The sequence below is a fragment of the Homo sapiens genome, chromosome 1 (genome assembly GCF_000001405.40).
Source record: "Homo sapiens chromosome 1, GRCh38.p14 Primary Assembly".
NCBI classification, from domain to species: Eukaryota; Metazoa; Chordata; class Mammalia; order Primates; family Hominidae; genus Homo; species Homo sapiens.
The window spans coordinates 77,274,580-77,295,566 of record NC_000001.11 but is presented as its reverse complement, the minus strand read 5'-3'; the positions used below and the strand labels follow the sequence as shown (position 1 = coordinate 77,295,566).

At 40.2% G+C, this 20,987-nt stretch overlaps 1 protein-coding gene across 8 annotated transcripts in view, besides 1 other annotated feature; it reads right to left on the bottom strand.

Annotated features, from left to right (window-relative positions):
* Positions 1 to 13,548, bottom strand: part of AK5 (adenylate kinase 5) — a 277,948-nt gene extending 264,400 nt beyond the window's left edge. For 2 of the 8 annotated variants that reach the window (NM_174858.3, XM_017001012.2), the window contains exons 1-3: positions 13,194 to 13,548; positions 8,440 to 8,626; positions 1,607 to 1,774 (exon numbers count right to left, since the gene is read on the bottom strand). In NM_174858.3, the coding sequence (NP_777283.1) occupies positions 1,607 to 1,774; positions 8,440 to 8,626; positions 13,194 to 13,253 (415 nt within the window). In that variant the 5' untranslated portion in view covers positions 13,254 to 13,548. Of the gene's footprint in view, positions 1 to 1,606; positions 1,775 to 8,439; positions 8,627 to 11,955; positions 12,481 to 13,193 lie in introns of those variants that run through there. The other 6 variants (XM_005270739.6, XM_047417740.1, XM_047417721.1 and 3 more) reach the window with 5 other exon arrangements.
* Positions 13,629 to 13,688: a silencer, noted in NCBI's record as "silent region_1001". NCBI's record gives its function as "represses an Ori minimal core promoter by ATAC-STARR-seq in GM12878 lymphoblastoid cells {active_cell/tissue: GM12878}" and the evidence as "EXISTENCE:reporter gene assay evidence [ECO:0000049][PMID:35858748]".

Below are 20,987 nucleotides of genomic sequence, written 5' to 3'. Positions count from 1 at the left end.
TATGTAAGGACTTGAAAGTTTTAAGCATAAAAAGAATGTATTCCACTTGCAAGAATAGAGGTTTATGGCGTAACAGCGGCTACCATAAAGCCATAAAAATATTTTAACTCTTCAAAAACTGACTTTAAACTCTCTTTCTGTAATTTTGTTTTTAACAATTCAAGGTAGATATATTTACAATTTCATTTTCATTTCACTTTAAAATGTACAAATGTCATTCCTTCTAGTCTGGTGAGCTTAAATTCTTGTTATAGCTTGGTGTGTTTATTTGCATGCTTTTGTCCTAGTTGTCAACATTGCTATGTCCTCTGAAGCACTACTTCCTTGCATGGGGTCTCCATAAATTTGACACTCTGTTAATGCAACTGGCTAGAACAGCTTTGAATATTTCATGCCAGAGTTTTGCTTTTGGTCATCTCTGTGAAAGGTGATTCTAACTGGAATGTGAAAACAATGACTACATGTTGCATGTTCACAGGTCTCTTCATGATTGTTATAGATTTTGAGAAAGACTTTGCAAAAATAGCCACAATTTTTTTTTCTTTTTTTGAGATGAGGTCTCTCTGTCACCCAGACTGGAGTGCAGTGGAGTTCACTGCAACCTTGAACTCCTGGGCTCAAGCTATCTTCCCACCTCAGCCTCCCAAATAGTTGGGACAACAGGTGTGTGTCACCACGCCCAGCTAATTTTAAAAATTTTTTGTAGAGACAGGGTCTCACTATGTTGACCAGGCTGGTCTGAAACTCCTGGGCTCAAGTGATCCTCCCTCCTTGACCAAAAAGGAATTTTTCAAAAATATTTAAAACATTTTCATTTTATATTCCTTGTGAAATGTCATGGGGCCGATAATTCCATATTTAACATAAGATTCATAGTGGCAACTTTTAAAATGAACTATTATCATTGTTATTTTGGTTAATACTCAGATGTTATGTGCTATGTAAAACACTATTCTATTAGATTTGTTTGTCTTTTAACAGTGAAACTTTGGATTTATTATAGGTGCCAATTTGCCATAAAGAAGATTCATTTATATGAATCTTTACCAATATATTATTATTTATTTTTCCCTCTAAAGTTAATAGTGAGTAAAAATTTAATTTGTTGATTTAAAGGGGGAAAAATCACATCATGTTTAGAAAACTTTCTTTTTTTCTTCTAGAAATAGTCTCACTAGGTTGCCCAGGCTGGACTCCTGGGTTCAAGGGATCCTCCTGGCTCAGCCTGCCTACTAGCTGGGACTACCACCACATTCAGCTCTCAGAAAACTTCAATTGGCTCAGTTATCTGTGATCAAGATTAAATAAATAAAACCACAGGACAATAAATCTTGAAGGTATTACTTTCGATTCATTATAGAGAATTTCTATGACCTTTTATTGGGAATCTATGAAAATGCAATAGGCATTAGATTATATAATTATAACAATTTCTATTTTATTGAAACTTATACTAAGAATATTTCCATTTATTGTCCCTTGAGCTTTTGTTTCTATTGCTTGTCATTATCCAACTATTTGCACATATATGATTTACTTTTTTGAAATGTAAATATATAAACAAAGGCAGCAACGGTATGAGAATTTTTGCTTTCTGTCCTCATACCTATAACAAGAATGATTTTTGGTCGAGGTCTGGTAGGATCAAAAACCTCATACTCCTCAATCAACTCTGCAGTCTCAGAGAGATCCGTGTCACTTTCTATGGAGAATTGATGGATTGGAGGGAGCCGGTCATACCGCCGATATGGAAAGTTTGAGTTTTCAGGCATTACTGCAAAAGAGTAAGATAACTTTGAAAAGGAAAAAACACCATAATAAAACACTCTTCACACTTAAACAGTTAGTAAAAGCAATTTTAAAATTAAATGGGTTTGTTTTTTTCTTAACTGGAAGAAGTCTCCCTAAGTGGTCAGCAGGCTTTATTGTAAAGGGTCAGATAGTCAATATTTTGGGCTTTGAGAGCCGTGCAGTTTCTATTCAACTTGGCCATGGTAGTATGAAAGTGGTCATAAACAACATAATAAACAAACGAGTGTGCCTGTGTTCCAATAAAACTTCATTTATAAAAACAGGCAGTGAGATGAACTTGGCTCATGAAACTTTGCCGCCCTCTGCCCTAAGAGGAACCTTCTCAGATACTGCCTAGTCTTGTTTGGTAGGTTGTATACATCGTGGCCTCTGCAAATGGTGCTCTCTGGAGTTATGTAGTACATAACCTTCACAAGCATATGCAGCAGCCTGTCCATAAAGCTAATGCTTATATATTGTGTATTTCATTCATTCAACAAATATAGATAAGCTGCTTTCTACGACCCAGAAATGCTACTGTGGTCCAATGGAATGGCTTGGTGGCATAATGAATAAAAAATTAAGGTACTGTCACGGTCAGTAGGAGGGTGCAAACAATTCCTACAATTGGAATATCTTGTAACATCATCTAATTTTACTTTATCAATTTACTTATTATTTTTAATCTACTTGATTAAAAGATGTAAAAGTTTAAGTTTGTATCTACAATGGCAACAAATATTTGCTATTTGTTGCCGTTTATAACATGCCAATACGTTAGTGTGTTAAGAGTAATTTGGCATAAGAATAAGATGTAGACCTGTCCCTTCAGTGCTTATAAACTAGAGCTTATATGTTTATATCTTATAGCTGTATGAACACCAGCCACGATAAGTGTTAAAATGAGTATCTCTCTGATAAGCACCACGGTAATTTAATGAATTACATTTGGGCTGCAGTGGTAAGAAAGGACTTGCAAAGGAGGCAGGACCTGAACTTTGAAAGACAAGCACAGGTGATGAAATGCAGGAAATATAACACAGTTGGTGGGAACAGTACAAAGACTCTGAGTCAGAAATTCAAATGACATACTCAAAAGGACCGGAAGACAGGGCTGGCAAGTCCAAACCAGGGAGATGGTCTCAACCTGTTGTCGATATATAGTTTATGGCTCCCTCTTCTTTACCTCAGGGGTCAGTATTCCAGGAGGCACAGAGAAGCACTAACTACCCAAAAGGCACTTGCACAAAGCAAACAGGAGGCCACCTGCCCTTCCATGAGGAATTCTGCTAAGATGACTACTGTATCTTAGCATGGCATAAGGCTCACATCTCCTCCCAGGGATGTTGATCTGTTAGAACTTTCCATTCTCTGTTGATACAATAAATAAGGCCATTGACCACAGACCCACTAGATTCATTTTAGCTTCATGAAAAGCACTGGGTAGTCTGCAGATGACAGTAGATCTCTTTTAGAAAGAGCTGGGAAGGGCTACATCAGGAAAAGCACCAACAACAGTATCCTATTCTGCCTTGAAATTTAATCAGTTCATCCAACATTAGACAAAATTCAAAACATTATCCTTGATTACTTTCTTTTCCTCTCTCTGCACATCTACTCACAAGACTTTATTTGCAAAACATATACCAAATGCATATGCTTCTCTCCATCTCTACTATCACAACTCTTCCCAAGCCATCATCATATTTTACCTGGAATATCACAATAGACTATTTACTGATCTACCTGCTTCCATGCTTGCCACCACAATCAACTGCCTGAAATGTTCTTCCCCTGTTGCTCCCATGGCTGACTGCTTCTTGTCATTGACACTTTACCTTAAAGGCCACCTCCTGCAAGAGGACTTTGCTGACTTCCTAATCCAGTGCAGCCTCCTAGTGAGTCTCAGGGACATCACTCTAATGCTCTGCACAGCATCTACTTCACCATCTGAGAGTTTTTTCATTTATCCATTCATTCATTGTTTGTCTTCTCCTATTGGATTATAAGTTTCATGAGAGCAGGGGCCTTACCTACGGTCTGGAGCTCTGTATCCCTGGGATCTAGAACTGTGCTTGGCAGATGGTCAGTGTCCAATAAATATTTGTTGAATTAGTAATAAAAAGAACATCTTACTGAAATAGTTTCCCATAGAGAAAACTCAGAAGATAAAATGGGTGGGTAGAGCGTGGTTCAATATGGAGGTCCCTGAATCCTTTACCATGGTAAAGGGTTTAGCTTTAATCTAGTAGAAAGCCAGTGGAGGATTTGCAGGGGAGGGTTGGTAAGAGAAAGGAAACAATGAAATGAAATATAGGTTTTAGGAAGGTTAATCTGCTAGTTAGAATGAATTGGAGCAGGGAAAGACTAAGAGCAGAAAAAGTAGCAGCTAGGCTGTTAAAGTAATCAACAGATGAGAAATGAAGGCTTAGGCTAGAGTGGCAGCAGGGGAAATGGAAATGGATGGCCAGATCTGAAGGATATGATTAGGGTTGGAATATGAGAAATGAAAGGAGGTGACAGTTCAAAAACAATTTCCAGGTTTCAAGTCTAAAAGGATAAGGACCATACTGCATTTCATATAGTATCTTTCTGCTCTCTCTTTTCTGCTCCAGCAATATTGGACTTCTCTCATTCCTGACCAAATTACAGCCTCTTTGTCTGCCTCAGGAAATTCTCTTCTCTGTTCCCTGGTACAATCTCTTTCATCCTTCTCTAGCTAACACACACTTAGCTTTCTGCTCCAAGTATAAGCACATCACCTCTTCCAGGAAGCCGACCCTGAACCCCAAGCTAGGTTAGATTCAGCCCTTTGTTAACATGGTTAATTCCTTAACCTATGATTTTCCTATAGTGCCATTGTGCTCCTGCTTATATTTCTACTGCTTGATTTCACTGCTGGACTGTAAGGTCCCCAAAGGAAGGTGCCATGTCTGTTCTTTCCTGGTGGTTGTATTTTCAGTCCTAAAAGAATGTCTGACACATAGTAGTACTCAATAAATGGTTAATTTATTGCCCAACTGACTTACTGGCTGACTTCATGGAAACAGGAAAAGAAGTAAGTGCTGGTTTTGAAGTAAATATAGTGTGTTTGGTTTTGGACATGTTGAATATAAGATAATGAGATATTCTGGAAGATGGGCTCTATGAATGTTTGGGGTTATGGGATTAGAACTCTTATTCACAGATAATTATTCAATTGTATGCATGTGGCAGAAAGAAAGGGATGCTTATCTCATATTTAATGCTTTAAAGACAGTCAGCCAATAATTTAATCCTTGCTTTATCATATTTTAACTTAGGAAAGTAACTTGATTAGATGATGAAAATGTTTCATTTCACAGAATAATTTTTCATAGTAATAACACATTAACATAGCTATGGCAATATTTTTTCAAAAATCATTTCTAGAAATAATCAGTATGCTTTAAGATACTGGGCAGTTAGCAATTTTGTTGAATGTAATAAACTATTCCACACATTATAGCTAAAACCTTCAAAGCACAAATGAAGAAAGCATTTCATGAAACAGAATTGTATTATTACAGGACCAACCAGTTTAGAAATCATTTTCCGTTTTTTAGCATACCTTTCAGATACAAGACCGTGTGATGCAACATTCTTACCACCATAGGTATACGAAAAGTTTGTATTTGATGATTAACTAAAAGATCCCTGTGTGGGAATTTTGGTAAAGTATCAGTAGGTATGGAGAACCTAAAATTAACATGCAATCTTATTTTAATGAAAATTAAGCCTACATTTTCCATTCTTGTTTTAGCTTATCCTGCTAGATCAGGAATTCCAAACTCACAATTTGTGTACCCAATATAGCCCCACAGATGTGTTTTGTTCAGCTGGACATTTTTACAAAATTTGTAATTGACTTTTTTTTTTTTTTTTTTTTTTTTTTGAGACGGAGTCTCTCTGTGTCGCCCAGGCTGGAGTGCACTGGCGGGATCTCAGCTCACTGCAAGCTCCGCCTCCCGGGTTCACCCCATTCTCCTGCCTCAGCCTCCCGAGTAGCTGGGACTACAGGTGTACTTGACTGTTTTTAAACAATGACTGTTCTCTCTAGTTCTTCTCTCTAGTTTGACCACAGTCCTTACCATTCTCTATTGACACATGCCTATCTTCTGTGTACAATCATAGTATCAAATAGAAGCATCAAGATTTCATTTTGTTGCAGTCACTTTTACACCCAGTCAGAGCAGCTTTCCGACTAAGTAGATGTCATAACTTCTTAGATTTAATTTTTAAAATGTATACCTGAGGTTTATTAGTACTTTAAGGTTTAGAAAGTAGATCCCCATATTTACCCCCCTTGATGTAACAAAAGTATGGGGTATGTATTTAACAGGGAGCCAGACATTAAGTATGACGACACCCTGGGAAGTAAGCTTCCCATATGCTGGGGATGTGTATGAACTGTTCAAGCCCACAAAAATATCATTTATTCACTAAAGCAGTAATGTATTAAGTGGTGTGCTGCAGCAGCAACTGGCTAAAGATACAACCATGAGTACCTGCTGCCCACAAAGAGGGCACATCTAAGCTGTGTCTGCACAGTTTGGAGTCCTAAACTCCAATTCTGCTCATTTGCTACTCGTGTACCAGGCTGTTCTCAGTGAACCAGAAATCCTGCTGATTTACAAAGCGTGAACTTTATACCTGGGACTCATCTTGGTTATCAAACCAGAAAGTGGGTCTATGAATAGATTGTATGGTAAGAGAAAAATCTCTTTGGTATTGTAAGGTTTCTAAGGGTCAAATAAAAATATTTGGTGCAAATTTGATTTAGTAAGTATATAAAGACACAACCTTACCTTAGGACTTCCCATAGAATGTAACCACATGGCTATTTTGTGCTGAGTGTTATTTTACCTCCTGCCTATGTAAGATGGACAGTGGTGAGAGACCGTGTAGGTTAATGGGATTAATTGCTCTCTAAGACTCAGAATGCTAATCTTATTACCTTATAGTCACATCAAAAATTTTCTATTTCTCTGTTTTTTGGTCCGTTATAACATTTGAAAGTTTCTAAAATTAGTTTTAAATAGCAGTTTCAGACATCTCATTACTTCTCAGCAGCAGTGGGAAGTTTGGTCAGAGTCATATCATTGACTTCTGCATGAATGGTGAAGGACTCTTTTCTTTAGAGATGTTTCTGAGGAAAAGCTATTTCTGTTTGCCTTCTTTTGCTTGTGTTCCTTGAAAATTAGCACACTATGGCTTTTTCCCACACTGCATTCAAATAAAATCTATGTAGGTCATGACTAATAAGGTTAAGCAACTAAGATTGCTTCCTGCTGATATTCATTGCAGATAGAATTGTCTCCATTTCAGGTTCTGTCTGTATAGCATAAACCTTTTGTTGTACAATTTTTGAGAATGGTTTCAGTTTTGAAAATATAATGATTTTGGCCACTAGAACAGAATTTAGTTCCCCCTGATTTGAACTGATTCTAATTTGCACATACTATTATACGTCTCAAATTCATCTAGAGCCTGAAAGGCTGGTTGGCTCATGTTGAACCCCTAATTCTGATAAGCACATATTTCAGAAAGAGATCAAAACACCACAAATCTTCTCTAATGAACTGCGGTTTTTAGTTCTAAACAACTCCTAAAATTTAAACAAGTTTACTTCTCCAACTTCCTTTATAGCACCCAAATGCCTAGATTAGATTAATGTGTTAGATTAATACATTGCATTCAGTAGATGCTTAATACACTTTTATTGAATTAACTAGTGTTAAAGTGAACTAAATATGGCCTGAGAAGGACTCTGTACCTCTATATTTGAGTCCTTGTGGACAAACTGCAACCTAGCTTAATAGGTAGACAAGATTGAAAACCTAACTTAGGAGTATGCGCCTGTAACAATAGCTGAGTCTTGGCTGATCCCAGCAGCTGTACTTCAACCATTCATACACTGCTGAGTGTTCAAACTGTGTTCAATAAGGCAAATGCTGAACCGTAACCAATCCAGCCATTCTGTACCTCACTTCCGATATCTATACATCATTTCCCTTTTTTTGTCTATAAATCTTCTTCCACCACGTGGCTGCGCTGGCTTCTCTGTGAATCTGCTGTGTTTCTGGGGGTTGCCCAATTCATGAATTGTTCATTGCTCACTTAAACTCCTTTAGATTTAACTTGGCTGAAGTTTTTCTTTTATCACTAGTATAAACTTTACATGCATTTATGCAGATGCATTAATATGAACTCTGAACTTGGAAATATTAGTAAGCCAAATCTCTTTCTAGCTAATAAAAAATGCTGAACTGCTATGTAATAACTATCAATTATACCCGTATTCTATTCATTTATTTGGAGAAATCTTGTTTGCAATTTTAAGGAAAATGTATGTATGGCTTGCTAATGTAATTTATTTTGCAAAATAATAAAGTCAGTAATAAAAAATTTCATTAAGCCTCTAGTGAATTGTTGGACAATGGTAGATAATTTTGTTTGTCTTTTTATGGAAGTGATTAGAATTAGTAGCAGAGAAAAATTAATCGTGATCCAATGACTTCAGGCATTTATAAACTCAAAAAATGAAATCACTGTGTATAGTCTATATGGCATGTTTTAAAGAGAATTGCTATAACTATAAAACTGTCTATTATTCTCCATATACATTACCATTTCTTAGAAAGGATCTCCGTGACTGTCCTCCATTTAGTGGAGGTAAGGTCTTCTTTTCCTGGCTTACAAATGTATCCCATTTCACCTTGTCACAGCCACCCAGTTCCTTTACTTTTTGTAAACAACTTTCCAAGTATTCTACTGGATCTTCGGGCTTAGAACACATCAGTCCATTCAAAAGGCTCTGAAATATAACAAAATATGTACAAATAAAATATCTTTTAAACCCACCTTTGTTTTTTCTTTAATTTAATTTAATTTAATTAATTAATTTTTTTGAAATAGAGTCTCACTCTGCTGCCCAGGCTGGAGTGCAGTGGCACAATCTTGGCTCACTGCAACTTCTACCTCCTTGGTTCAAGTGATTCTCCTGCCTCAGCCTCCCGAGTAGCTGGGATTACAGGTGCACACCATTATGCCCAGCTACTTTTTGTATTTTTAGTAGAGACAGGGTTTCACCATGTTGGCCAGGTTGGTTTCGAACTCCTTAACTCAAGCGATCCACCTACCTCCGCCTTCCAAAGTGTTGGGATTACAGGCATGAGCCACTGCACGTGACCCCACCCACCTTTGTTAAAATAGTATTATGGCTCATCTTTGAATTCTGATTGTTTTTGTCCTTTGCATTTGTCTTTTAATAAACAATTAGAGTTGAAATTACGATCTGATGGAGTCATTAAGATAATCCCTTAAATTCTTGCCTAATTAGTTTTCAGTTCAGCATTCTCTGCCTCTTAAGCAATTCAGGCAACTAGATAGTTTAAAATGGAAGAGCCATTCACTTCATCACAGTGAGATAAAATGCAGCATGTGAAAATGCCCCTGGTCATTATTTATCTCACTCCTACCCACCCTTTATGTCTCTAAACCTCAGTTTCTTCTTTTAGAAAATGGGGGTAATAATAAATACCTCATAGAGTTTTTTAAGAATTAAATAATTTCATATTTGTACAGTGCATATTAAATGCTTGGCACATAGTAAGTGCCCAATAAACTTTGTTGGTTTTAGTTATTATTACTATCAGGAAGTCTTCTCTGAATCCCTAGGTTTGTCTGTGAACCCCTTCTTCTGTGTTCCCATGGTATCCAGCATAAAACATCATACTTGTCATTTATACTGAAACCATTCGGTTATGCAATAGTCTTTCTTCTAAACTATAAGCTCTTCAACAACACAGAGTGAGTCTAATTCATTTTTCAATCCCCAGATACTGATGCTTTCCCTGGCATTTGGTAGGTGCATATTTAACTGTTTTCCAATTGGAAAAAAAAAATCCCTCAAAGCTCAAGTCTAACTGAGACTCAAAAAAATTTAGGTCTGAGACTAAAAAAAAAAATTACTATTTGACATAGAGTAAGTCACTACGATATCCACTGAGATTCCAGAGGGGAAAAGAAACAAAGCATGATCCTGCTATTACTTTTTTGGTTCATGGTGTCTGATGTGTCACTGGCACTAGATTCTAAAAATGCTACCAGTTTGGAAATGCTGATTCCTGGAAGCTGGACTGATGTGCAAAATATTTTCCTTTAGAGTATTTCATGGAAAATGCATAAAGGATTATTCTTACCAATATACATTGTTAGTATACAAAACACCCTTTGAAGGGCTGACATCTGTTTAAATACAGTATTTTATTTTCAATTATTTCCTGTGTAATTTCCTCAGAATGGTAGGCAATTCTCACTAGGTACATTTGTTTTCTGAAATCCTAAATAGAGTAAGCTAGAGTGTGCACCTCCATCAGCCAAGTTCAATTGCAGAGGGAGCAGAAAAAATTACCCGGGCATCCAATTCAGTTTGTTTGTCAAAATCTGTCCCATATACACACACATTGCAGTTGAGCTTCTCACATTCTTCCCATACGCCAAGCCAGTATTAGCCTCATTAATAAATAAAAGCCTCTGTGTCATATATTTATTTGCATACCCAGTGCATTCTCAGCCCTGTGTGACTTTATTATCCCCATTTTATAGATTAGGAAATCATGGCTCAGAGATATTAGTGATGGCTCTAGTTTACTCAACTAGAAACTCCTAGGCCCAGGATTTCAATTCAATGTTTCCAATTCCAAAACCCATATGTTCTTCTCTGTACCTGTTGCAGAAACGTGATATGAGATAAAAGAAAACATGAGATTCTCTGTGCCCTCTGCAAAATGCCCTCTTTTTATCCCTACTATTGCCTGAAATGGGTGAACACTCTCAATGACTCTTTTCTGAAAATATACATTTCCAGCGTCCTTAAACAATACTGGTTCACCAAAGGGCATTGATTTTAAAATGGGACAATGAGCTCCATTCCTTCACGGATAATTCAAATCTTTTCTTCTAATAGCCAGCCACTATCAGGGATTGAAGACAACCAGCACATATTATTGCTCAGTCTCTGAGTGAACCCTTTGAGACCTTGAATAATCTGACTTTCCACAGTATTCAAATTGATTGCCAAATCTCTGCTGTAAGCTACAAGATCAATATACACACCATAAGGTTAGCCAGAATTAAGAACTCATGACAAAATAATAAGAAAGTGGGTTTAAAAAAGTCTAAAACTGGAAACACATTTCAAACATGAACGTACCAGAGATATCCCATATTCCATTTAGCTTACATGATGTCTCAAATTAGGAAAAAATCTGAAAAGGTCAGTTAGATATATTTACTTGTCTGACAATACGTCAATACAATAATCAGTCAGTTTGTCTGTAATAGCGTCTAAAATCCACAGCTGGGGCCAATGTCTTGGTGTTTAGTAGACAGCTAATTGTTAAACTTTGTACACCTAAAATATTGTGGTGGGCAAAATCCATTTTAAAAACCTAAAGTTTTTAGTTTTACAGTCTACACTAATCACATGGAGAACTGCCAGATTTTCCTTCCCTCTTGAGCTGCGCATAGCACAGATTCGTCTTACTGAAGGATGTAGCCTTTGAGGTCACCAGCAGTCTACTTCCATCTTCTCATTGTCCACAAGTGAATCTAAGTCCATTACTGTATTTCACCCAAGCAAGTTGACTTCCTTTTCTGGGTGTGCATTATTTATCCCATTCATATGCAGAAAAGTAAATAAGAAACATAAAACCTTAACAAAAAGGCCTGCCATAACTTATTTGCATGCACAGTGTAGATTTTAATAAACTATCAAACTTCTCTGTGGTTACCTTCCACCAAGGAGGAAAAACAGTACCCACATTTACAAAGAAAAAAAGATGTACTATGTAGGAATTTTTGCAATCACGTGGTCCTCCTACAGATGTTTTTAATGATTCTTTTAGAAGCGTAGAAATGAAATATATCTCAGTAGTAATCTTTGTGAGAAAAACCTTCGCCTCTTAATTTCCATATTTACTTTTTGAAAATAAAAACAAACAAAAAAAACAACTCTTAAGATTCCCACATATTCTCAAGACCTGTCCTTATGCAACACCACCTAATTATTTTCACGCAGGAGTAACACATTTGCTAGATTTGGGCTTCACATACCACGCTTGAGTTCAGTGAGTGGTTTACCTGGAAATCTTGACTTCAGATGACCTGAAAACGGTGGCTTATAGAGGTGAGAGAAAAGAAGACCTGTAATTATGGCAACCCATTTTAAAGATAGTTTAGGGAAACTGAGGCAAAATTATTTTCTCAAGTGGTGCTTTAAAATTCCTTTTAACAGAACAAATCCCCCAAACCGGGGGGAAAAACCCTCATGACCTTTAGTTTACGATATCAGTCTATCCGTTTTCAGAAATGGGGAACGAGGTTTGCAGTGAATGGATTTCTCCTTTCAGAGCTCGCTTAGGAAGCCTGGCTTGCTTCTATTCTTTTCTCCTCCTCCCCCCTACTTCAAGCAAAAGCACTTGAGATTCAGGAATGTTTTTAAATTCAAATACAAAGAGAAGGAAAGGAAGCCAAACGACCTGAGACAGGGGTTGTGGCTTAGAACAGACCAAGGTTCATTCCTCGAGCCTCCTCTCTCTCAGTCTCCAAGTGTCCCCCCATTCCCGGGTCCCGGTGCAGATGATGCTGTGCTGCGGTCTGAAGACTGAGCAACAGGAGTCCGCCCCCCTCGCAGCTCCCTCCCCGACCCGCTATCTCCAGGTGGGTTGTCGAGCACTGGCGAAACCTGCGGCCCAACCCTTCCTAGGCAACGGGAAAAACGTGCTCAGGAGTTCATTCAGCGAAAGCGCAGAGCAAGGCTGGGGGCCTGTCACCGGGGAGGTGGCACTTGATAGGTTGGGTTTTGCTTTTTGCATCTTCATCCCTCTCTTCCAAGCTGTCTCCAGGAAGGGCTGCCTTCGTCCACATTTCCTCTTTCCCCCAGGGGTTCCGACCCTCGACCAGCAGAGTGACTAGGGCTCTGGCTCCCTCAGTTTCGAGTCTTTACTCGCTGCTGGGCGACAGTGCAGCCACCTGACCTGGCCCTCGCCCCCAGAGAGTGCGGCCCGGCCGCGGTCTGCAGCCCACCCTGGGTGTCCACATCCGAGGGGCGCGATGGGAGCAGGCTGCTTTCAGAACCCTGCTGGAAGACTGAAACTTGATCTGTGAGATGCAGGCTTCTAAGCCCAGCCTTCTGACAAGGACCCTGGCAACCCGCGGGAAAGGCGACTACCCTCGGGGGAGCGGGCGAGTGCGCTTCTACAAGCCCCTTCATTACATGCCCCGTGTGGGGAAGGTGGGACGGGGCGCGGCTGCCTCAACCCGAACCCCTGAGATGCAGTCCCCGGATGCTACCGCCCGTCGGCCAGCTCTAGCCCTACCTCAAAAAGCTGAGGGATTTCCCTCCGGGCCAGATACTCCTTGGCATCGTTGGTGTTCATGGCTGTGCCGCGCGTGCCTTGGGGCGCAAGCGGGGAGGCTCCCGGGCTGCGGCGACCTGAGCCGGGGCTGAAGCTGGGGCTGGCAGAGTCCGCGCCGAGCAGCGGTGCAGCCCTCTTTCTCACGCGCACTCAGCTCAGCCTCTCCGCCCAGGCCAGGGACCCCCTCCGCCTCTCCCCGGGGGCTGTGGTCTCCGCGCTCCCGCCGCCCCCGCTTCGGTTCCAGCCCCCGAGCCGGAGCTGCAGGCGCCGAGCAGCTGTGCCGCGGCTTCCCGGGCTGCCAGGCAGCGCGGCCGCCAGGGGTGGGGCGCAGGGAGCGGAGGAGGGAGGACAGCGTGGCGAACGCAAGGCAGCAGCCGGCCCGCCTCTCCGGTTCAGCGCGCCGCGCTCCGCGCCTCCCCGAGCCGGGTCTGCGGCGGCTGCCGGTCACGCTGCGCGGGCTGGCGCGAGGTGCGGAGGTGGGGGCGGGCACGCGCAAGGGGTCGTAGTCATACCCCTCGGTGCGGCACCGGCGCCAGAGCGCGACGCTTCACTGCGTGCGCCGCCCAGGGATGCAGCTACCGGGGACCAGGTGGCCAAGGGAACAGGGTCGGGGTCTGTAGGAACCTGCGACCGTTTCGCTTCTCCGGACCTTGTACGCACACAGACACACTCGCACGCACATACACGGTTACCTCCGGGTCTCCGAGGAACTCCCAGGAAAAACCTAATAGTCACAGGATTTATCATTTATTCCTAAGGTTACGGATCTTTCACTATAGGGAGCTGTGGGGAAGGGGGAAAAGGGGATTCATGGTGTGGAATCCAACCCTTCAGATAATTTTTAGATCTTGAGTATCTCTATCCTTCAGGAAAGTTTTGCTAGCTGGTTTCGAATTTTTACCCTGTCGGTGTCACAAATCTTTATAGACTTTAGGATAAGGCCTTAGTGTGAGCCTGAAATCCTAATCAACTGAAGGACTAATAAGTAGTCAACTAGTTAATTATCTCCATGGAGAAGAAGGGACAGTGGAGGAGAAAGGTGGGTGGTAGTGGAGAGCTAGAGATGCTTAAATTGCAAATGTGTTTAGTAGGTGGGGAGGGTGGGCATCATTAATTAGACCTGAAGAGTGTGCAGTCCGTGGACAGTGTCGTATCAGAGCACCCCTGGGGGAATATGAGTGAGTATGAGTGGGTGCGCTAAGGCATAATGGTTAATGGATCTTCCTGCTGCAGACCATTGTTAAGGTGTAACCCATCTTCCTCCTAGCTCCCAAGATGACTCAATTCCCTGCTAAGATGTCTTCACATTGCCTATTTGGGAGATAGTCCTTGCCCCCGGAGAATATGATCTCTAACTTCCCACAAAGCCTAACACTGTAGGAGGGTGTGTGAGAGAGGACACTTTGGTAGGCACTGGTATCTGGGGTCTGGCTGGAGAAAGAAGCAACGCTGCCACTGCTTTAAAAAACTATAGAGTCTGAATGTCCATTTCAAGTGCTTCTTTGCAGATCTTTTCTTGGTTCTATTTCTTGTTCCGGAAACAACTGCAGCTCAAGCCTTAACTACAGCTGCAGCTTTGTTTTACCTGAGGGAGTAAATGAACTTTTAGCACTTGTGAACCCGTGTGTCATATGGTTGCCTTAAACGAGGCAGGTATTTCAGTTCCATGGAAATTGGTTTTTGCCCTTAGAATATGCCATTTCACTTACAGTCCCAACTTCTAGTATTTCTTTAGCTTATTTAAGATTGGCTATGGCAGTAGTGAAGGCAGTGTCTCTTCCCTATGCAATGATGCTTGAAAAGTACAATGGTCCGTGGCATTAAGGCTTCCTTTGTGAGCAGGCACAGTGGAGGTGAACACGCAGGAATGAAAAGGCCAGTTTCTCCAGGACTTTTCAAGGTCATCCTTTGCAGACAAGAATCTGGCAGAGCATGGCTCACCTGTCTTCCCTTGAAGAAATGCATAATTCTAAGTGTACTTTAGTGTTACCGGACAAGTGTTGGCAACTTGCTTGTAAAAAGAGAATGGATAAGAAAGACTGCACTGCACTAAAAATTGTAGATAGCCTGAAAAATGTAGTAAATGGTGATACGGCAAGTTTTCAAGTAGCCTTATGCAGAGACAATTAGTGTATTTTGGTGTGTGCCAGGGTGGAGAGAGATGCGTGAAAGAGGAAGATGTTCATAATTACTTTTGCAAAGGAAGTTGTGGCTTTGTAGGGAGGGGCTACATGAGAGAGATATAATGCTTAAAAGCCAAGCTAATGGTTCAAAAGAGAGGAAAGAGAAAGGACAAGGAACACTAAATACATCCTTGCTGTGGGAAAGCTGGCCTCTCATTCCCTGTGATGAAATTCTATGTGTGGGTATATAGAAGGCTCATGGCCCTTGGCCCTTTGTTTATTTGGGAATGCTTTCCTGCAAGCTATAATGAATCAAAATGGTTACTGCATGTCGGATGTCTTCGGATAGACTCTCTTGTCATCACGTCTTGAGAGAGGGTGCTAGGTTCTGAGATATAGCAGTGAATAACAGACATGATCCTTGCTGTCAAGGAACTTAAATTCTATGAAGAGTGTGTGTAAGAAGTGCAGATGAACAATAAGCAAATAAAAATGCATAGACAACATCACATAGTGATTAAAAAATACAAAGAAGGACATAAACAAGAACATATCAGTTAGTGATAACTGATGACGAAAATCAGAGTTGTTGATTTGAAACAAGGGGGCAGAGGCTCCAGGTCTGTTCTGTGGAAGCAGCTGAGGAAATGGGAGTAAGAATAACCATTAGGGGCCGGGCACGGTGGCTCACGCCTGTAATCTCAGCACTTTGGGAGGCCGAGGAGGGAGGATCACGAGGTCAGGAGATCAAGACCATTCTGGCTAACACGGTGAAAACCCGTCTCTACTAAAAATACAAAAAATTAGCCGGGAGTGGTAGCGAGCACCTGTAGTCCCAGCTACTCGGGAGGCTGAGGCAGGAGAATGGCGTGAACCCGGGAGGCGGAGCTTGCAGTGAGCCGAGATGGCGCCACTGCACTCCAGCCTGTGCGACAGAGCAAGACTCCGCTCCAAAAAAAAAAAAAAAAAAAAAAAAAGAAAAGAAAAAGGAATAACCATTGGGATGATGACTAGGACTTCCAAAGGGCTAGGCATCCTTCAGACTCTTGGTGGGAATGTTTCCCTGAGTCATGATAGGTACAGATGAATGGAGGAATAAAATATCTATAGCTGTATCTATAGAATGCTTAGGACTCAGCCAAAGAAATTTAGAAAGGTACCCTAGCAGGAAAAAGTAAACTTTCTATTTTAAAAAACAAATATGTTGAAGTCTTTAAAAATTACACCATGATGGCTTGAAAGAGTAAATGCCATATATAGAGATTCCTGATTTACCATGTAGGAGTATGTTTAGGTGCTGAGAAAATCTAGCTCAAGCAATGTCTTCGTAATGTCTAGAAATATAATGGTGTATAAATACATGATTTACGAGTCACAATGAAAATAGTGTTTTATGATAATTCATTCAGTCAACAGATATTTCTTGTGCATCTCCTGTGTGCCAGGCATCGCTGGCACTGCTGTGCTGTCAGGCGCGTAGGTGAATAAAACACATGCATGGAGCATTTATCTAGGAGCAGGAGATAATTTGCAACAGATATAATAAACAAGTATATGAAATTGTTGTTAGATGGTGATAAATACCATGGGAAAAGGAAAAGTAGAGGAGGGTAAGGAGAACTAGAAGGCTGGCTTCAGTTTTATACAGAGTGGTCAGGGAAGGCCTCATTGAGAAGGTGAAATTCCAGCAAAGGTTTGAGAAAGTGAGAGAGCAACCACTTCAAATGTCCTAGCAAGGGCAGATTCCTGGCACTTTCTGGCAACAGCAAGGAGGCTAGTGTAGCAGGAACAGGGTGAGGAAGGAGAAGAACAGAGAGGAATGGGGCCAAAGCACTTGGGACCTTGTAAACCATTGTCAGTTCTTCTCTAATGGGAAGTTAGAGAAACGTTTCAAGCCAAGACTAATATGATCTGACTTACATTTTAAAAGGCTTCTCTGTCTGCTGGTTTAGGTATATGTAAGAGAGAAAAGGTAGGAGTGGGGAGAACACTTGGAAGGCTATTGTGACTCAGGTGTGAGGTGACGAAGGCATGGACTCAAATATTGGCAGCAGAGACAATGAGAACTGGTTAAATCCTAGATATATTTTGAAGATAGAACAAATAGGGTTTCTTGACAGCTTGGATGTAGTATATGAGAGAAAAAGAAATCCTCAAGTATGACTTCATGGTTTTTGGCCTGAGGATAGTGTGGAGACAATTAATTGGCCTCAAGAGGCTTACTAACTTACAAAATTATTTAATAGTTAGATGGTAAAGAACTCTATGCAACCCAGAGAAGCAACAGGACAACTGGCTCTGAAGGGAGTCTGGCAGATGGTAGGTTCTCCCTACTGCTTACTGACCGTATTTCTTCATTTTCATCTGCAACCCTTGGCTTATAGCAGCCATTTGAGCTCTAAAGGTAACCTACATGTTAGGTTGACTCACACATTGTACAACCTCTGTGCAAGTGGAAGAGGGGAATTTACACTTGCTTCAGGATATGCTTTCAACTTAAATGTTTTAGAACTTCAATGTCCATTCTGCACGAATATTTTACCTGCCCATGCGAAATCTGTAATTCCATCAAATCTAGTCTTCATCCATCAACCAGTAATCCTAACTTGGCTATGATAGATATAAATAAGGGAGCAACTTGAACTCCAAAGACCCTCTAAGTTTCAAAGCTGCAGGTAAAATACAGAGAGAAACATTATTGTTTTGATTTAAAGAAATATTCTAACATATGCTTAGAACTAAAAGCTTTTGGAGGTCTTAGAGAAAAACGAACAGATCATTTTTAACAGATTATTTTTTAAAACAGATTTTTAAAAATTTGTTTTCACAGAATGCAAATAACACATTTAAGTTTTTATTATATTATTATTTTTATCATTATTGACAAGCAGCAATTCTGTTGAGCCTAGAGGCCTAAAATTTCTAAGTCATACATATGTATCAGGACCAGTATGCCCTTCTGAGTTGTTTACATTGCTTATTTTTGTCTTTACTATATGTCTCATGAACAATGTATTAGTGTTGCATACACTAATCAGCCGAGGATGAGTAAGATAAAATCTTTCCATCCAAGGAATAAAATGTGTTTTTTCTCAGTAGTCACAAGGCATTCATGTTGGTGTGCTGGAAAATTTTAAAACTTACCAGAATTTACCATCTGTTCCTGTTTTTAGCTAGTCTGTTTAACCACGTTTCTTCTATTAATTGTCCTTCTGCAATACAATTAACATTTACACTGTTTTTCTAATCAGATGAAATCATAAAATTAAAGATCTATTGGAGATATATGAGTAGTGATTAAGTTAAAGAGGTCCCTTCCCCAAATAAATCAACATTTTAGATTGTGCAGAGGAAAACTAATACCAAAACATTTCTCCAAGAATGTCCCTCTCTTGTGCAAAAATGTTGAGTGGCCACCATTTTCTTCACCATCCATTATGGTACTCACTAGCGTCACATGGCTATTTACACTTAAATATTAGATTGGTGCAAAAGTAATTGCAGTTTTTGCCATTTGCAATTATTTTTAATGGCAAAAACTGCATTTACTTTTGCACCAACCTGACAAATACAATTAGTTTCCTGTTTTGTACTTAGTCAAATATTTCCATACCTCCAAGGCTCCATTTAAAGACAACCTTCTCTCTAAAAGCCATCTTTATTTAGCCCTAATGGATTTAAGTGATTTCTTCCTTTATCCTCTTTAGAATGTTACTTGTACCTCTATCCTGCCTTCTTCCTTATTTATGTACCTTTGTTTTTCTCATCTGCCTTGACCCAAAAATGTGTCTTCATGGTTTACCCTTATGCAGTTTATCATGTACATAATAAATACTCTAAAATTATGATTTGAATAATTTATAATACATTTAAATATTACTTCTGTTTTGTGAGCATATGCAGCCCCATTGCTTGATGTGCTTTGAATTTGTAAATGTATTTGCTCCGTTATTTTCTAGGGTTATCATTTTCAAATTCTATCAACATTAACTAATCTTGAGATGTCGGGGAAAAGAAGACTAATTGCAGCAAGTTATAGACCCAAGTTTCTCTATTCATGACTATGATTTGTGCTCGAGTATTTGAATTGCCTTCATGATTATCTCTCATGCCTGTAGCTAACAAACAGGATGCAATTTAAATCAAACAAATAGAGTGTCTACTAATCCCTGATAATTGGTGCTAGGTGTCCTTCCCATCCAGCTGTCCCTGGTCACCAGTTTTACAGAATCGCAATCATTAGGACAGAAAAAGATTGTTATGAGCTTGTTCGTGCCGTTTCTAAAAACTAGCCTGTTGTTACACTTCCATTATTTGGATCAAAACAAAGCTTCTCATCAGTTAATCTATTTTCAAATTACAAGCTCCAAATAGATTCTCAGAGGTCATTAATCATCTCACCTCCAGAAAATACAACACAAGCCCATGGCATATTCCTTTTAAGGAAATGTTGTATTGTGTTCCTCTTGTCTTCCACAATATTCTTGTTTGTAATTTTCAGAAATTGGAAGGTGATATTTGTTAAGATTATTTCATGCTAATGAAATGTTGGAAGTCTCAATGTTGGAACTACTTTTGATGCAGACATTTTTGCTCCTTAGTTCAGCTAAAACGAGGTTCTTGTCCTGCAACCAGGAAAGATTAGGCATGCAGACACATTGAAAGGTGAGGAGAGCAGAATTTATTAAAAGAAAGCTCTCAGCAAAAAAAGAAGAGGTCCTGCTAATAGGCTCCCACCTCACAGATTGAACAGAACGCCAGGCCACCACCCATGGGCTGAAGAGGCCAGGCTCCTCCCTGCTGCGCAAGGAACGAATTCCTGTGGCTCCACCCCATCCCCCCAGTGCTCATGTGGGCACTATTCAGAAAGAATTAGTTGAGAAAGGGTGGGTAAACAGGGGCAGTTCTCCCTCTGGGTCTGGGTTTCATCTGGGACCAGCAGTCTGCTCTGTCAGCCTTCAGGCTGTTTTAGGCTTGAAGGTGGGATTTCGCCGGGGATCCTTGGTTATCTCCTGTCTCTGTCACTTTTATGAAAGCAGAAGAGAAGTTTTTGTATATCTCTGTTATCCTGAGCACCCACTTTCAAAAGAAGGTGTTTCCTAACATGGCCCTGGTGGCTTCATGGGGACAATCACCCTGGCATTTCATATCTACAATTTGATAAGAGTAAAAGGAAAAAGTATTCTTATGCTCAGTCTGAAGTATTCATTAAATACTTTTTAAATGTATTCTAAACACCTTTCAACTCATCTATCTTATAGTTACACCAATGGCCTCTCAGAAGGCGACGTTTTTACCTGTTTATCTTCAGCCTTGGCTTTTCTGTGCTCCACTTCTGCCGTGGCAATGGGTTGCTAGATATCCATAGTTTCATTTAGCTAACATTTATTGATCACATACTATATGCCAAGCACTGTGCTAGGTTTTTAGGAAACAAAGTCATAGCCAGTGTGGCAAAATGCTCATGATCTCCCCAAAGGAAAAGGCTACTAAACCAGAGAGACTATAAAAACAGAGTAGAAACAGCATAGGCTGTGGAGTCATAATTTCTAGCCTTGTCTCATTCTTACTCAGCTATCTGATGTCCACAATTTACTAACGAGTCCAAGCCTCAGTTTTCTCCTTTATGAAA